Genomic DNA, 19,670 nt, shown 5'->3' on the forward strand with positions numbered 1-19,670 from the left:
TATCCATCCTTCTTAGAGGGGCTTTCCCTATGTTTGAAAGGACTTACTTGTTATTATCTGTGCTGTAACTGCTTTAGGGGACACTTTCATTTCAGTAATGCTGTGGTTCTAGTTGACTTGTGGAGGTATCACCCTGATGGTCTTGGATATGATCCAGGAGAATTTTCTGGATTACCAGGCACAGTCTTGTTTTCTTCCAGTACTTTTGATTGTTCTTATTAAATGTGTCTTACACCCTACATATGACTTCCTACAGTTTTAAATATTAATAATATGTTTAATAATCTACCACATATGTTTATATTTTAGGTTAATGTCAAGCTTATTAAGCTGTACTTTAGTGCATTAAAAAATATGGGTAGCTTTTAGACATATCTACACAATCACCTTGATTGTTTTGGAAGTCAGAATCCTCTTACTAGTATCTTCTGTTTTCTGTGATAGAGAAGAAGGAAGCACATAAGAACTGTGGGCTTTAACTTTCCTTTTTTCTTATCTCAGTTTTCTAGTAACATTAAACCCTCTCTCTCTCCAAATCCTGCTTTACTTCTATTTTCTAAACACAATTGAAATAACCCTATCTGTGATCATAATATCTTACCACAAACCTTCACTTATTTCATGTTTTATGATTTCTGGTTTTTTGTTGTTGTTGTTGTTGTTAGTTAGTTGGTGAGGTGGATAATTTGTTGTTTGTTTCTACACTAATCCTAAAATGTTTCATACTATGTTTTTTGTTTTCACAAAAATCAAGTTTTTTTAGTTAAGTTATAGACAGCTAATATATCTACCTTTTATTTCATTATACTTTTAAGCAAAAAATATTACATGAATGTCCTAACTTATATTTCTCTCTATTCTGGTTCATAAATATACAAGCATTTATTATTGACACATAGCAAAACATAAAAATAAACACACAACAAAGTATTATTGACTAAATAACCTCCAGAAACATTTTCTGCATTCTTATTTTTTTTCTTGGACTCTTCCACATTCATGTAGGAGTTGGGTTGCTTAAAGCAGCCTACTAATCTTTATGAACCGAAACTATACTCAAGTCCATATTTTTTCTCCTTTCTTATTCCCAATGTGTTTTCCCTCATGTTTATTGTCTCTTTATGGAGCTTATATCTCCTCTCTGCATTCATACTTCTATTACTTAATGTACTTATCTCCACAATCCCTGTCTCCCCCTCCCTCCCTCCCTCACCCCAGAACCCCCCTAACTAAACCATTTCACTCTCTTTAACAATACTTTTACAAGCAAACTATATATCTAACCTAAATTCTTACAGCTGTAGGTTCAGGCCATTCTCCTGTTTTACTATCACTTTGGCAAAACAACAACAACAAAAAAACTGTACAGTATTCTTCATAAATTATTTATGCAATGCTTACTTCTTGGCTATTTTACGTATTCTGTCATATTTTCCCTTAATTATTCCTTACAGGATCTATTTCCTACCCTGAACTTTGCCAAAATTGATAGTAACCAACTTGACAAACATAATCAGGGTGCTTTTATGATCCCTGACAATAGTCGTTAAAAATTGCCAGGTTATGACATTAAAATAAATGCTTAGAGTCATATGTTAACATGATAATTAGATCAATAACTTGGTCTAAAATGAAAAGTCTTCTCCAGATATGCCAAAGGTAACTTGAAATGGAAACTAACAGAATGACCTAAATAAACATATTACTGCTAACTATTAGCTGCTCCCTTTGAAGGGTCTGTTTGTAGGTGTCCTGATGAAATGCTATCTTGATCTTATTTAATATTTTCGTTAACAATCTGGAAAATAATAGTATCATTTAATTAAACTTTGAAGTGAATGGAAATTAAGAAAATGTGCAAACAACTGCTGAAGAGAGAAATAATATAAATAAACTAATAGGGGTTAACAAACTGGCAGGAAATGAAATGATTGCAAATAAAAAATAAGTGCTAGCTCATTTACAATAAAATTAGGTGACATTTAAAGAGTTAATATTTTCGTTAAACTTCAAGGAGGCAAAATTCTGTGGTAAGTACTAGAATAAAGGAGACAAAGTACATGTTCTGTATTGAAGGACATCACAATCTAGTGACCAGCAAGCTATATGGTCCTTAAAATTAAAATTTCAGTGGAATATTGTAAGATCCCTAGAAATGACTCAGAGCTCACTATCCCACTTCAGATTTATGATATGATATGATATGATATGATATGATATGATATGATATATAAACCAAGACCTACATTTTTCACTAAAGACTGACCACAATAATTGTGCCATTTCAGCATTAAGCCATGCTTGCTCTATTATGATCATGAGTTGGAATACATATCATAAAGGGTAAATATTAACAGATACTCCCTGACTCAATGACTTACAATTTTAATATGTCAAGAAAGTGTAAATGCTACAAATCTGGCAATAAACAATCAGTGCATCTGTTATCCACATTGCATAGGTAGATAAAATATCTTTGGATGATTTTCCTGGCATATTTTTAATGAAAAATTAAAGAGAAGATCTTTTTTGAACCTCAAAGAAAATTCAAGTCATATTTTCATTTCAGAATTGGTAAGCAAATGTTAAAACTTAGTTTAGATGACTCAATTTTTTAAATGTGTTACTTTTAGCTCCTGCCCCCAACGTGGAGTGGGAGGCTTTCATGTGTGTTCTTAAAAAAATTTAAATTAATTTTAAACTGTATTTAAGCAATTTAAACTATAATTACAAGCACATCATTAAAAGCTTTTGTTTTCTAATTTCAACAGCCTGGAGACCACCAATATTTATCTTTATCACTAAGGAAACTTTTGTTATTTTCAAATATATAACCCTCTGGTTTCTCTACACCAGTGCTTTTCTATAGGTAGCTGCTAGCCACATTCACTTTTGCAATTTAAAATAAAGTTAAACATAATTAAAAATGTTCTTCTTCAGTTGCACTGGCCTCATTTCAAGTGCTATAGTCACATATATTTATGGCTACTATACTGGAAAGCACAGATATAGAATATTTCCATCATTATCACATAAAGTTCTATTGGACAACAGTGCTCTATAATAAGATTAAACTTCTTAAAAATATGTCCGTTGACAAGGAAAATGGCATCCACCATTTCCTTTTCTTAGGTTTAGGCCTTGATAAATCTCCATCTTGAAACTTGTAGAGATAAAAACAAAACTACTTATTTGTGTAATTTGAGACTTTCTTGATTATGTATAAGTAGAAAAAATACAAAAATAAATTTGATGAGGAGGCCAATATCATACTAAAATATTAACTAAAGAGGTCTATTTAAAATATCTATCTTTATGAGAACAGCCTTCTTGCTGTCATTTTTGGCTTTATATCAAGTAAATATTATTCATTAAGTGATAAAGTAAATAAACATTTAACATTTCAAAGTTAATTGATTTTGAATACTAAAACCTGTTCCTCGCACAATCTTTGTCATTCTCAGAGGAAGACTGTGGGAGAAACTGGTGTATTTCTAATCTACTCGTTGCTCAAGTCAGAATATTAGATGTTTTCTTAACTATTCTCTTTCCCCGTAACTCCTGTCACATCCATCAGCAAACTGTTGATTTTACTTTCAAAATTAAAAAAAAAAATCCAACCAGTTATTGACACCATCATCAATGCTACCATATTAGCTGAAGGTATCTATCCGTCTTATATCATCTTATCCCTTTTGGATAAAACTGTTACTCCTTTTCTAACCTTGACTTTTCACAATCTACTCCCCTCTTCACTGATATTTTAAAACATACTCTGATCATACCACTGTTCTACACAAAATTTTTCAGTGTCTTCTTGTCTCAGAGCAAAATCTAGCATTCTTACTATCGTACATAAAGCTCTATATTATCTGCATCCCCAACTTCCCCAACCTCTGTGCTTCATCTAACATTTTTTTTCCTTATTCATTCACCAGGATCCAGCCACAGAGTTTTCCTTTCTGATCCTTCAATTCACTCTGCATATTGTTGCCTCAGGGCCTTTGCAATTGTCCCCACTCCCAGTAATGATCTTCCTTCAGATATTTCTGTGACTGACCATAGAGACTTTTAGGTCAGTGCTGAAATGTAGCCTTATCACAAATGGGTTTCCTCAATATTCTATGTAGAATGATAAATCATATCCTTATTTCTGTTAACCTGATTCATGCTTTTTTGTATCACTTGTCATATTATAAATACGCTCCTTCAGTTTTTAAATATCTAGTCATCTCACAATAAAGTTCAATGAGGGTATAGAAAATTGTAGACCTTTTTTTGTTCATTGTTGTTTCCCTAGTGACTAGAACCTCATTTGTTAGGTTTCCAAAATATTTGATAAGTAGTTCAACATTAAAATATGTGACAGCTGCAGGGAGTGGTTAACTGAGAGCCTCCGGGTGCAACCTTTGGAATTCACTGCAATATTTACATTAGTGGCAAGTTCCTGGTCAGTGACTAGGAGCAGCAATGACTGCTCCTAGTCAGTGATTGAGCATAGCAAGGTTAATGAAGCATGACCAATATATGACCTCATTAATGGACAACATGAAGCTATGAAATATAGTCTAGGGCTTTTCTTACCTATCTTCATCTCCCTCTCCCTTCATTGGTGTCAGACATGCTTCATGGTCTATGTCTCTCCCTTTCTATCCTGGTTCCTTGCAGATTATTCTTTCATAGGCATTTACCTCAATACATTTCTTGTACTTCTGTATCTATCTAGGTGTCTGCTTCTGGGAGGACCTGAACTGACAGAGATTACCATTTTGAGTTTACTATTTATTTTTTAGGTATTATAATTATGCATAATAATTTGTTTTGAAAAAGAACTCTGTAGCTATATAAAGGAGAATTTTTTTTTTTTGACGGAATCTCACTCTGTTGCCCAAGCTGGAGTGCAGTGGCGAGATCTCGGCTCACTGCAAGCTCCGCCTCCCGGGTTCATGCCATTCTCCTGCCTCAGCCTCCTGAGTAGCTGGGACTACAGGCGCCCGCCACCACGCCTGGCTAATTTTTTGTATTTTTAGTAGAGACGGGGTTTCACCATGTTAGCCAGGATGGTCTCGATCTCCTGACCTTGTGATCCGCCCGCCTCGGCCTCCCGAAGTGCTGGGATTACAGGCGTGAGCCACTGTGCCCGGCCCTAAAAGAGAAAATTTAAATTGTATAGTGTGTGTGTGTGTGTGTGTGTGTGTGTGTGTGTGTGTGTGTGTTCGTGTTCTCTCTCCACTAGGGACTCAAGCTTCTCTTAGCATAGTGGTTGCCAGGATTAGTGGCTGAAGAGAGAAAGATCCAGGTACTAAGTTCAAGTAAGCATTGAGAGTCAAAACAAGAAGAGCTGAATTAGTCATCCGCCTATGTGGCTGCAAACAAGCAAGTAGCAGAAATAAAACTAAGAATTTTGAATTGAGTGAAATTGAGAAATAGAAATGGAGGCACAAGGCAAGACTGGGATAAAGTGAGATGCCTTGATCATTTTTTACAAAATAAATCATGAGACCTAATGCTGATTTTGTTTTGAGTTCTAGAGGATGCTGTGGGTGAGTGCTTACTGCACATTCACATTACAACATACTTCTTTCAACATGGAAGTAGATGATAAAATTTGAAATACGTTTTTTAAATTACATAGTATTTATTTTAATAATCTAGGTCTTTATTGTTTCAGTCTCTGTTTTGGTATGCCAGAGATTAAGAGCAATGTTCACAAAATGGAATACTGAGATTCTCAACGATTATTGAGAAATTTTCAAAAGAGACAGAGAGACTTAGAAGACATGGTTCCAAGCAGCAATATTGATGGTACTGAATGAAGTACTTAACTGCAGAGAACCACGTTCATAAAATTTTCAGTTCCTTTTTTGGACATTTTCCTCATTTAAGATTTTATTCTGAGTACGCTAACTCTGTTAATTGAATTATAGTATTAATTCATGCAGATAACAGCAAGTTGATTCACAGATTAGTTTGAGACCTACAATGCAGTAGTACTAAGGGCAATGCCATCTTAAAATGAAAGGAGTATCTAGGTTGGAATGCCAAGATAATCAACCTATAGTATAAGCAAAATGGGAAGAATTTACTTTTTCAGGGTGAAGAGGACGTGAAAGTTTTTTGAGCCTAATAACTACTTTTAAACTGATTAATTAATTTGAAACAATTCTGGGTGCATACTTTGAGTTGGGTACTGATGATCTAGGGATGTTGAACAAAACAGATAGGACCTTGCCCTTGTTGATATTTGGTATGCATTTCAAAATGGTTCTAGGAAGGGTAGTGGGGAGGGAGCAATAAAAGGGTTGGTTAATGGGCACGAAAATATAGATAGCAAGTAGTACAATGGGGTGACTACAGTTAGCAATTTATTATGTATTTTAAAATACTAGAAGAGTAGATTTAGAATGTTCCCAAGACAAAGAAATGATAAATGTTTGAGGTGATGGGTGCCAAAATTACCCAGATTTGATTATTACACCTTTTATGCTTGAATCAAAATATCACATACCTTACATAAATATATATAGCTATTATGTATCTATAAGATGTAAAAATAAAAAAGTTTATTCATTTATTCATGATTTTGGTAATGAACCAATTGAATTGGGAGTATAATTCAAGACTTTCTGGTTTTTTTTTCAAATACATTTATTTGTAGAGGAAAACATTCTATATAAACACCAGTTAGAAATATTGTAGAAGATAAAAAACACATTCTATTAATCTGGAGTATTAAAACAAGGAGGCATCCTACAAGCAAAATGTTATCAGTGAGATATATTTTGCAGAATCAGCCTAAACTCCTTCAGAGAAGTGGAGCAAAGAGGTTAGTGTTAAACATGTTAGAAGCATCCTATGGTGCAGACATTCACATTTTCTTGGTGTGACAGATTAAAAAGAAGTTTAATCCAATGGCATTTAAAACTGTCATTGGCCAAAAATAGTTGACTGGAAGGTAGGAAACAAGAAGGATAAAATTCAGTACAAAAGAGATGTGACATTAACACTGTTTATATATCATCACTTCAGTTCACAGTCTTAAGTGTCTGATAGAGCAGCAAAACATTCAAGGTATTTAAATATCTGACCACTAAGATCTGAAAGATATGTATTTCCTTCAATGCGATAGACTGGATAAGGGTAACATGGAGAATAGAATCAGTTATTTGCTGAGTTATACCTTAAAGGTCTTGCTATGAAGAACGGAGTGTTAATGATGCTCAAAAGGAAGTTTTGGTGCAAATTACAGACATCAGTGCACACATAATGTAGAAAGTTGAGATGAACAGGACAAACAGAAAATGTGGCAGTGACAAGAGATTATCTAGCTTCATTTGACGGAGTTATCAATTCAGCATTTGTAAAAACCCAAGAAGGCAAAAAAAAAAAAAAAAGTCACATTATAAATTGTATCATTAAATGGGATGATCTAGTCACATGGTTGTTAGGAGACCTGTGTTCTACAGGAAGTGAACACTGATTAATGACTTGATTCATTTTGGAAGGCTTTTGTCTAGTAAGAATATTAAAAGATTTTAGATAAATTTAACTTCCCCTTTCTTAAGATATACTCTCAGGTAAGATGATTAGTTTTTTTAGAAATGGCTGAATGTCAAGTCATGAAGAAATCTGATGAGACATGTAAATCCATGCTTAGTTGTGTGGTTATAAATTTGGAGCCTTCTAATGAGCATCCCTATTAAGCCTTTACGGTTCTCTTATTTGGCAATGTAAGCTCTTTTAATATTAGTATATTAGTTACACATATCTCTCAGGGCTGCAAATTACTCATCTTTAAGAAAACTTTCTATAAAGTTTTCCCTTTAGGAGACGGAACTGTTTAATGTTTTCACCATTAATGCAGCATGCAAACTTACTCAGGTAGTCAACAAAATATTGGGAAAAATATCAATTGTATATGATATGTATTTGTTTTTTAAAACTGCATTTAGAAATATAAATATTATATTACATTAGATCAATGAAATTATGCAATAAAGAACATATTTTTGTGGGGAAGCATATTTGTTTTTCTCTTCTATTAATTGAACATCATCAGTTCGTCCTTTTTTTAAAAAAAATAAAACCACATATTGTCATTGAATTGGGTTACTGATATCACTTTGGGATGAATTGACATCTTGCAAATATAAGTTTTCCCATCTTTAAAAAGGATATATCACTTCATATAATGAAATCTTCTTTAATATTTTTAGCAATGCTTTTGTATTGGAAACAGTAAGTAAGCAGTATAGCAGTCCATTTGGAGCTATCACTCTGATATAAAAAAATACAATTTATTTTTATATATTGACCTAGTAAACTATGACTAAGCTAAGTTCACTTAGTTATAGTCATTGCTTTGTAGATTGCTAAGGATATTGTATGTAGATAATTATATTATTAATAGATTCAGTTTTACATCTTCTTATTCAACCTTTAGATATTTATTTATTTTCATTAGTGTGCTGGCTTGAACCTCCAGAAGAGTGTTCAATAGAAGTGTTTACACTGAACACTCTTTCTCTTTTTTACCTTAGGGAAAACTTTTTCAATATTTCATCATTCACTATAATTTTAGATAATATTTAGATGCCTCCTATCAGAGTTAGAGTGTTCTATTCCTAGTTTTCTTCAAGTTTTTATTATAAACGGGTCTGAATTTTCCAGTGCTTTTTACTGTATCTCTTCAATGATCAAATGTTTTCTGCTTTATTTTGCTAATATGGAGATATATATTCTTGATTTTTAAATGTTAAACACACCTTGCCTTCCTGTGATAAATATCAGTTCATCATAAGGCATATAATATTATATTTAATTTCCTTATTTTAAGAGTTTTTATTTTAGGTTCATGAACAATACTGATGTACAGTTTTTATTGTAATAGCATTTTTGTCAGGTTTTGTTACAAGGTATTCCTGACCAAATAAAGCAAGTGAGTAAGTCTCCTTGCAGTCTCAATATTTTAAATAGTTTTCAAATAATGGTATTAGTTTCTTTTTAAGTGATTCATAGAATCCTGCACTTAAACCATTTGCAGTAGATTTCTTTGGTTTTTAACAAGATATTCAATTTCTTTAATAAATATAGGATTATCCATATTTTCTCAATAATTATGTAACCTTTGATAAATTTTGGTTTTTACAAATGTGTCTTTTTTTATCTGAGTTACCAAATTTCTTGTCATGATTGTTTTTTTAAATGATTCTCTTAAAAATGTAAAAAAAATCCCATTAATTATCTTTTAATGTCTGTAGGATATGTAGTGATAACCTTTCTTTATTTTCCAATTATAACATCTTTCTTTTGATTATTCTTGCTAGCAATTTAACAAATTGGTTATATATTTAGAGAACCAACTTCTGGTTTTGTTAAATTTTCTCTATTTTTGCATGTGTTCTATATCATTTTTTCTACTTTTAAATTGTTTCCTCTTTTCTCTGGTTTTAGGCTTGTTTTCCCATTTCTAGTTTCTTAAATGAAAATTAACTCACTAGTTTTAATAATCTCTTTGTTTTCAATATGAGTTTTTAATGCTACAAATTTCCCTGTAATCTCTGCTTTAGTTGTATCACATACAAAAGGAGGTATGTTGTATTTTATTATCACTCAGCTTGAAATATTTTATTTCTATTATGATTTTTTTTTGACACATGGTAATTTTAAAGTGTCTTGATTGATTTCTAAATTTTGACCTTTTATATTTATCTTTTTCTTATTAGTTTGAATTACATTACCTTTTGGCTATGAATCATAATCTATAACATTTAAATATTTTTAAATTTGTAGAACATGCCATGTGAACCTTGAAAGAATGTGTAATCTAAAATTATTGAGCATTATTGAGCAGAATGGCATTATGGTCAAGTTGGTTTATAGTATATGCCTCTTCTATATTCTCACTATTTTTTTGTCAATCACTGAACAAGTCATATAAAACTCTAAATTTTATAATGGATTTGTCTGCCTCTCTTTTTGACTCCATTACTTTTTTCTTCATGTATCTTTCTGAGTGCTGCCATAATAAAGCACCACAAACTGGGTGGCTTAAAACAGAATGTTATTGTCTCATAGTTCTGGATGCCAGAAGTCAAAAATCAAAGTATCAGCAGTATTGCTTCTTTGTGATAGATCTAAGGAAAACATTGTTCCAGACTTCTCTCCTAGCATTTGGTGATGGCCAGCAATCATTGGTACTCCCTAGTTTGTAGACACATCTCTCAAATCTCTGCCTCCATCTTCACATGGTGTTCCTCGTTTGTCTCTGTATCTTCACATGGCTGTATTCTTATAAAGACACCAGTCACACTGGATTAAGGGACTATCCTACTCCAATATGACCTAATATTAACTAATTATATATGCAATGACCCCATTTCCAAATAAGGTCACATTCTGAAGTACTTGAGATTAAGACTTCAACAAATCTTTTGGGAAGGAGGCAATTCAAACCATTACAATACATTTTGAAGCTCTGTTATTAAGCATATTCACATTTGTCATTTTTATGTTTTTCTGATGAAATGACTCTTTGATCTAACATTGTTTCTTCTGTTACTCCTCTTCTTAATATATTTTTATTTATATTTATTGTTTGCTATTGAGTTTCTATCCCAACAACTTTTGTTCTTCCATTCCCACTCAACTGCCTTCCTTATGATTATTTTTATGTTTTCCTAATCCCTTTGGGATTCATTTATTGGCCTTTTAGCAATATTCCCTTTGTACTCTTACTTTATTGTAGTTTGCTATAGACTGAAATATTCAAACTTGTGTTACATAGTTTCTCAGAGTTAATAGTCTACCACATAACATAAAATTTAAGAACCATTATGCCCCATCTAGTATATATGCTATTACAGTATATATTATATCCATATATATATACACATATATATATATTATAAACCCCTCAATATTGTGTTTTCCCCTGCAAATAATTATAATCGTCCTTTGGTATCAATGGAGGATTGTTTTCAGGACCTCTTGTGGATACAAAACTGCCTAGAATCTCAAGTCTCTAATATTAATATTAAAGTGGCATAGTATTTACATATAACATAGTATTTACATATAACATTTTTGTATGCTATAAATCTCTAGATTAGTTACAGTAATAACTATTACAATGTAAGTACTATGCAGATAATTGTTATACAGTGTTTAGGAAATAATGACAAGAAAAAAGGCTGTACATGTTCAATATAAATGCAATTTCTTTCTGAAATATTTTGCAGCTGAAGTTGGCAGAATCTACAGATGTGGAAACCATGAATACGGAGGGCTGACTGTGTACATTTTTAAATTAACTTAAGAAAATAAAAAATCTAAATACTTTTGTATATTTATGTGTATATCATTTGTAGTGCTCTTTATTTGTCCTGTATATTCCACTTGTACCTAGTATCATTTCCTTATAGTCTAAAGGACTTTTTGTTGAAATTGTTATATTACAGTTCTGCTGGCAACAATTCATTTAGCTTTCATTTATCTGAAAATATATATTTCGAAGGATATTATCATGGGGTATAGGAAAAAAAGACTTTCAGCACTTTAAATATGCAGTGCCTTTGATATATGGCCTCTGTTGTTTCTGATGATAAGTCAAATATTCTATAACTCTGTGTTCATTTGAATGCAGTGTGTTTGCTTTTCATGGCTACCATAAGGATTTTGTCTTTTTTTCTTGTTATCACTTGGCCATGCTGTACCTAAGTCTGATCATATTTATCCCTCTTGGGTTTTGATGAGACTCTAGGATTTGTAAGTCAGTTTTTCACAAAATTTGCAAATTATCAGCCATTAATTCTTCAAATATTTCTCTGTCCCATTCTCTTTCTTTTCTCCTTTGAGAAATGCAATTGTGTTTATATTAAACTGTTTGATATTTTCCCAAATATCACTAAAGCAATGCTCATTTATTTTCAATATTTATCCTTCATTTACTTCAGATTTTATTCTTTTTGCTGATTTATCCTTAAATTCACTGATGCTTTATTTTGTCCTTTCCTTTTTCTTGTTAATCCTATGCATAGATTTTTCCTCGTGTTTTAGTTGGCATTTAAAATTTTACATATTTATGGGATACAAGGTGGTATTTTGATATGTGTATGCAATGTGTAGGGATCAAATCAGAGTATTTAAAGTATCTGTCACTTCAAACATTTATTATTTCTTTATGTTGTGATCATTCAAAATCCTCTCTTCTAGCTTTTTGGAAATATACAATAAATTAGTTACCTTATTTGCCTTAACAGTGCTGCAGAACACTAGAATTCATTCCTTCTGTCTAGCTGTAAATTTGTATCAATTAACCAACCTCTCCCTATCCTCCCTTCCCCTCTACCTTTCTCAGCCTCTAATACCGACAATTCAACTATTTACTTCCATGGGCTCATTTTTTTTTTTCAGTTCCCCCATGTGAGTGACATGATGTGGTATTTATCTTTCTCTGATTGACTTATGTTGCTTAACTAATGTACTCCAAACTTATTCAAGTTATATGCAGAGATTTTTTTTAAATGATGTAATTTTAGCTCTAGAATTTCCATTCTTATAGTTTCAATTTCTCTGTTGAGATTCTCTGTCTATTCATTCATTCGTTTTCCCCATTTTTTCTTAAAATATCTCAACACATTTATGATAATTATATTCAAGTCCTAGTCTGCTTACTCAAACAGCTGAGTTATTTCAGAACCTGTGTCTATTAAGTGCTTTCAATCCTTATTACAGGTCACGTTTTCCCATTTTTTTCCTTGTCTTGTGGGTATTACATTGTAGATACTACTAATTTTTTCTTCCACTGAAGAGTGTTGATTTTTACTTTTAACAGGTTGTTAAATATGTTTTCTTTGTGGTGGGTAGTAGCTCAGTTCTTTCGACCTTATATTTCTTGCTTGCTTCTAGGCTTCTGTGCATTTTTGGTGTTCCCCATTCTGTGTTCCCCTTCTTTTCCTGATTTTCCCCATCACTTTCTAGATGCTCTTGCAGTCCTGATGAAGCCTACTTGCTTGCCTTTTTTCCTCATTTCTTCCTTGCTTGCTTGCTTCTAGCTTTCTTTTTGATCTGTAGTCACTCCTTGCTGTCCTTGAACTGGAGTGTCTCCTATTAGAAAAAAAAATACTGTTTACAATTAGATTCTATCCAGCGTAAACCCCCCCAGTTTCTGAGTTTGTGCCTGCTTTTGATTATTCCCTTGTACCTGTAATTAGTGCTTTTGTCGGTTTCATTTTGTTTTGTTTATATTTGTTTGTTTTACTTTTGTCTGGATTTTATAGTTATGTATGGCAGGATTGATATGTTGCAAGTTACTCCACTTTTGGTGGGTGGTGGACCTTATTCATTTTTCAAGCACATATACCTTTTATTATGTGTTACTTTGTTTAAGTATTAACTCAAAATAATACACAAGGTTAAGTACTGTTGTTTTAACTCAAAATAATATACAAGGTTAAGTACTGTTATTTTCTTCATTTTATTAGTGAGGCAAATGAAGCATGTAATGTTTACCTAACTTTCCCAAGTCCACACAGCTATTAAGTGGCAGGGGCAGGATTTGATCCCAGCAGTGTGGGTGCTATGATATGCCACATTTATAGCCAACTGTTTGTTCTAACACAAACATCAATTTCCAAAATTGTTTGGGTTTATAAACTTACATCTAATGTAGCATATGGGAAAATGACAAATCTACATAAAACGAATACATAGTCCTGAAAGGGTCTATGAATTGCATTTATAGTTGTCCTTTTCCAAGTATCGACAGCAGTTCCAGGATAAGTGGAACACATCTGAACAGAAGAAAGTAGATTTCTGATTTCTAAAATAATAATTTGTTTCTAGCAAGCCATGCTACACAGGAGAATGGTTCAGTATATGGCTGAGAGAAGACATTACAGGGAGGAGAAATAAGTTTTACATTGTGAAAGATGACAGAGAAGAGAATTAGGTGAAGCGGTGCATACTAGTCAAAGTGATGGTAACTAAGTTAAATGAGAAGACAATGTAAGTTAGGAAATGTGTGTTAGGAAAAAGCATTCAGGCAGATGTGTTTTTTTTTTGTTTTTTGTTTTTTGTTTTGAGACGGAGTCTCGCTCTGTCACCCAGGCTGGAATGCAGTGGCGCCATCTCAGCTCACTGCAAGCTCCACCTCCCGGGTTCACGCCATTCTCCTGCCTCAGCCTCCCGAGTAGCTGGGACTACAGGCGCCCGCCACTACGCCTGGCTAATTTTTTGTATTTTTAGTAGAGACGGGGTTTCACCGTGTTAGCCAGGATGGTCTCAATCTCTTGACCTCGTGATCCACCCGCCTCAGCCTCCCAAAGTGCTGGGATTACAGGCGTGAGCCACCAGGCCCGGCCAGATGTTATTTTTATAAGCAAAATTTCAGAAATATAAAATAATTGTGGAGACTTTTTGAGGTATCTGGAGGAAAGTTGTTATATAAGTGTGACTTATTTTACTTCTTGCTATGAGGCAAAATATTACTTCAAGAAATACCTTTAGCAGGAAGATTTTTTGAATAGGATTTGGAGGTCATATTAGCATTTCATATCAAAATTGGGATAAATCAGCAAGTAAAATCCAAAACCTCCTAATAAGTTTTCAAGGACTTTGTAAAAGTTTGCATTAAAAATTTGATAGTTGTGGGGCAGGCACAGTGGCTTACGCTTGTAATCCTAGCACTTGGGGAGGCTGAGGCGGGAGGATTGTTTGAGGCCAAGAGTTCAAGACCAGCCTGACAAACACAGCAAGATGCCATCTATTTTAAAAAAGTGAAAATAATTTGATAGTTTTGAAATAAATACCAATATCGCCCCTCCTGCATAGGACAGTTTACGTAATGTGAAATTCGAAATAGTTTTCAGCTAACAATTATGAATTCCTTTTTCTTTTTAAAAAATGTATTTATTATTTTAATTGGCAAAATAATGTCAATGGTGTACGACATGATGTTTTAATATATGTATGCATTGTGAAATGGCTAAATCAAGCTTATTAACATATGCATTATCTCATATACTTATCATATTCTTTTGGTAAGAACACTGAAATTCTACTGTCTTAGCAATTTTAAAGTAGACAATACATTGTTATTAAATGCAGTCACCATGATATATGATAGATCTCTTGAAGTTATTTCTCCTGTCTAACTGAAATGTGTCCTTTTACCAACATCTCCCCAGTCTACTACTCCAAATGAGAAGATTATGATTAAGCATTTTTGGCACAAATACAACAGAAGTAATGTCATGCTCTTTCCAGTATATCATTTCTGGAGCTATGTGATGTCAATATATACTATTACTGGTGGTAGTAACTTCAGTCTCTTAGTTAAGCTTGCATTGGCCAAGGTTTGTTTGTTTGTTTGTTTGTCTCTTTCTCTGTGAAGTTACAATTTTCCCTTTTGTCATTAATGATTTATGAAGATACTATGAGACTATGTAAATATCACATTTCTCATACTTTTACCCATTTATTTTCGTTATCATGATTCCTGCCTGTAACAATTATTATTGTGGTGTTTAAATAGTTATCGTTTTCTGTTGCTGTCATGCCTTTTACATTTATTGTCTGGAATTCTACTGTAAGGAAGAGCTGCCCTTTCCCCCATCTCTGTTTATTTATTTACACAATTATTTATTTATGTCAATATGGAGTCATGGATATTTATTCCCAGATTTGGCTGTTAGTGGCTCCAACAAGTTGGCCCTTGTGTACCTTTCATCACACCTCCATCATTTTTGAGCCCTTTGTTACTTTCTGGCACCACAAAATCAACTTGGTTCGTGTTATCTTTTCCCCACCCCAATCCTGGTATCAACTGCTTATCCAAGGATCTCTAGTTCTTTTACTTGGAAAGTAGTATTTACAAGCTAAGATCTAGGTACCACGTTTGTCAATTTACTGCTGCTGGGATGTCATTGCTTCTAAAGCTTTCATCAGAGAGAGCTAAGAAATTGTGTGTGTGTGTGTGTGTGTGTGTGTGTGTGTGTGTGTGTATCCTCACGCAAATATCTCTATTTCTAAACCTATTGTTTCCTATACATAATAATATCCATGACTTCATACTGACTCTTACAATTGCAATAAAGCACCAAGTGTTCATTCTAGTTTTCTTTCTTTCTTATTTGTAACTATTTTCTCTAATGGGGAGAAACCTGACTCTGGTCCACAGTGTATTTCTTTATTTGCTCATTTATAAAATAAGGATAAAATAGCTTCAGAGTTTTAATTCACACTCCTGTGAAAGCAAATTTTCTAACTAGAGTATTTGTGTACAGTTTTTGTTTTATTTTGTTTTCATTTTGCTTTGCCTTACAGGATACATTTACTGTTTTTCAAACTTATTTGTGTTAATTCTTTTTTCTCCTTTTTCTTTAGCGTAGTTACAATTTTCATTCATAATATAGTTTGGTTTATTTATTACTGCTTTTTATTGTATTTTTGGTTCCCATATTTTTTATTTTAATTATTTCGAAATTTAATTTTTATTTACTTGGGGAGTATGTGAATCTTTAACATAGTTTCAAAATCAGAGCTATATGAAAATGTTCTATGAGAAAATTGTCACCCCCCTATACTTAGTACTCAGTTCTCTGCCCCCATTCTTATTGCGTTATTCCCACTCACCTCTTATTAGTAACCAATCTTGTTAGATTCTGGCTTTTCCTTTCCAAAATATTTTTGAGTGTATATTGTATGTACTCTCTCTCTCTCTCTCTCTCTCTCTCTCTCTCTCTCTCTCTCTCTCTCTCTATATATATATATATATATATATATATATATATATATCCTTATTCTTACATGAATGGTAGCCTACTATAGGTACTATACCTACCATAGGTACCTTTTGCACTTTGACATTTTTCACTTTCCAATACATACTGGAAATAAGTCTATATCAGTTCATAGGGATCACCAAAATTCTGTATTCATTTTATAGGCTCCTCACACTCATTTGTGTATATGTGCCATAGTTTATTCAGTTATTTTCTCTGTATGATCATTCAGTATTTTTCCCAATATTTTGCTATTATAAAAAATTTCAATGAGTAACCTTCTGTGTATGTGTTTTCATGTTCTTATAGGTACATCTTTAAAGTAGATACCCCAGTTGGGCTGCTGGTTCAAATGTTAAGTGGATACGTAGCCTGGTTAGGACTTCCCATAGGTTCCCTTACTTGTAAAAAAAAAAAAAAAAGAGATAATAATACGTTCCTATCATAGGTATTTTGAAGATTAAAAACATAGAATATATAAAACATCTTACATATAGGAAATACTTAGTACTGCTTTAGTCCCTTGACTCTATTCACTTACTTCTTCAACATTACACACATACACACGGACACATTCACACATATATGCAGTTACGCACTGCATAACAAAGTTTTGGTCAGTGATGGACTACGTATACAATGGTATTCATTCAGTAAGCAAAATCTAATTTATTATTGAAGAAAGAAATTTTGTATAAATTTAGTGAAGCTGGCACGTATAGTGTTTATAAAGTCTACAGGAGTGTACTGTATATCCTAGGCTTTCACATTCATTCACCACTTACTGACTCAATAAAAATTACATATTTTATTATGTATTGCATATTACATTATTACATGAACCTATTATGTAGTGAACAGGATAGAATGTTCAACAGATTTGACTCGGGCCATGCATGCTTCAATGGGTGGTTCTGGGATTCTCATGTGTTTGCTCCGTGATGAAGAATTAGATGTTTTTCTTAAGAGTTAAGACATGACTGAATGAAAACCAAGAGGTAAGATGCAGAGAAAGGTATGGATGCCTGGTAAATAGAATTAAAATGATTGAGAAACTTAACTTAAAACTTGCAAATAAAAATTTAAATGTGGCTACATGGAAAACTAATTGAGATACTCTTTTTTAGATTTTGTCTATTGACTTTAAGAAGCCACAATCAATAAAACTCCAGTTTCTTTTTGTACATAGTAGATCCATATCTAACATTTCTAAATCTTACAGGAGTATATAAATAAATGGGGGAAATAGGTTTTTTTTTTTTAATCAATATCATTTAGCTGGTCGGTATTCAGTTCAATGTATCCAACATGAAAAAGGGATTCGTTAACATCTGACATTCCATTAGCGTATGTACAATAGAAGTAGTACTGATGTTATCAAAGAGCTATGTTATAATTCTAAGATTTTATTGGATTCTATTATTTTAAAAATATTAGAAATGACACTCATTAGATACTACACTAGATTAAACATGAACATTATTATCCTCTTTTTAATAAATACAATTATAATGCTGTAAATGCCAAAAGGATTAACTGGATGTGTGAATAAGTCACTACCACATATTCATTCAGACAAACTTTGCATAGACTTTTTGCAGATACTAATATTAGATATGCTTTTAGATATGAACTAGATACTGAATTCATAAGCATTTTCATTACCTAGAGATTAAATCAATCAAAATGCCATAGAACTTTTCCAGTTGTACTTCATCCATGAAGAACAGAATTTTGTTATCTTAAAAAGAACAAATGATAAAGAATTATTTCTGGTCCTGGATCATTATCACATACATAGTAATTTTTTAATAATTGTTTTTCCACTTGATTCCACTGAAAGGAGAATTCATTACATTCTAAAATTTACCAGTCATCATCTGATTGGAGTATACTCTCTTTACTACCATTAGTTCATTTTAACAAGCGTAAGATTGTTTTCAACTGTGGCACTCTTTCACATCCAGCTGTATTATATCTAATTGAATCAAACTTTAAAAATTTATTTCATTTGTTTTTTTGTCCGTGACATTAGGCAGTCTGTTTAAATAGGTTATGCACATTACTTGTAAGTCTGTATGTAGTAGCTTTTTCAGCAGATATCAATGCATTTTTTCGTCCTTCATTATTATGCACAGTTTTTCTTTACTCATAAATCATAAGTTTGAGTGCTTTTATTTGCAGAAAAAAACTCTTGTTTGTATCACAAATTTAAAATACAAAATAATTGTATGTGTGTGTTCGTATGAGAGTGTTCATATGTGTCCTATGAATAAAACAAACATTGAGTGCCTACTACGTGTATGGCATTGTGCTTAGCGAAATGTTAGATAAAATCTATTTCTTTATCATTGTGAAAATGTGACATAAATAGATTCCAAATATTTCTGTTTTAAAATCTTTTTTTGGCTAAAAAATGCAATGCATTGAAGGGATAGATATCTAATTTTTCATAATAGAATTCTTATGCATTGCATGCCTGTATCAAAATATCTCATGTATCCCATAAATATATACACCTACTATGTAGCCACAAAAAATAAAAATAAAAAAATTAAGCAATGCAAAATTGAACAAGGTAGTTTTCACACCCGTTACGTTACAACTGGTGTTATTAAAGTTACACCTCATTTATTCAGAAATCAGATCTTGGCACCTTCAAATTATAAAATGGGGTGCCCCAAAGCAAGAATTTAGAATATAATGAAATGTACAAATTCCTGGAAATATAAAACCTCTCAAGATTGAATCAGGAAGAAATTGAATAATTGAGCAGACCAATAATGAGTTCTGAACTTGATTTAGTAATAAAAAGCCTACCAACCAGAAAAAGCCCGGGATCAGACTAATTCACAGCTGAATTCTATACAGAAGAGATGGTTCCAT

This window comes from Homo sapiens, chromosome X (assembly GCF_000001405.40).
Source record: "Homo sapiens chromosome X, GRCh38.p14 Primary Assembly".
NCBI classification, from domain to species: domain Eukaryota; kingdom Metazoa; phylum Chordata; class Mammalia; order Primates; family Hominidae; genus Homo; species Homo sapiens.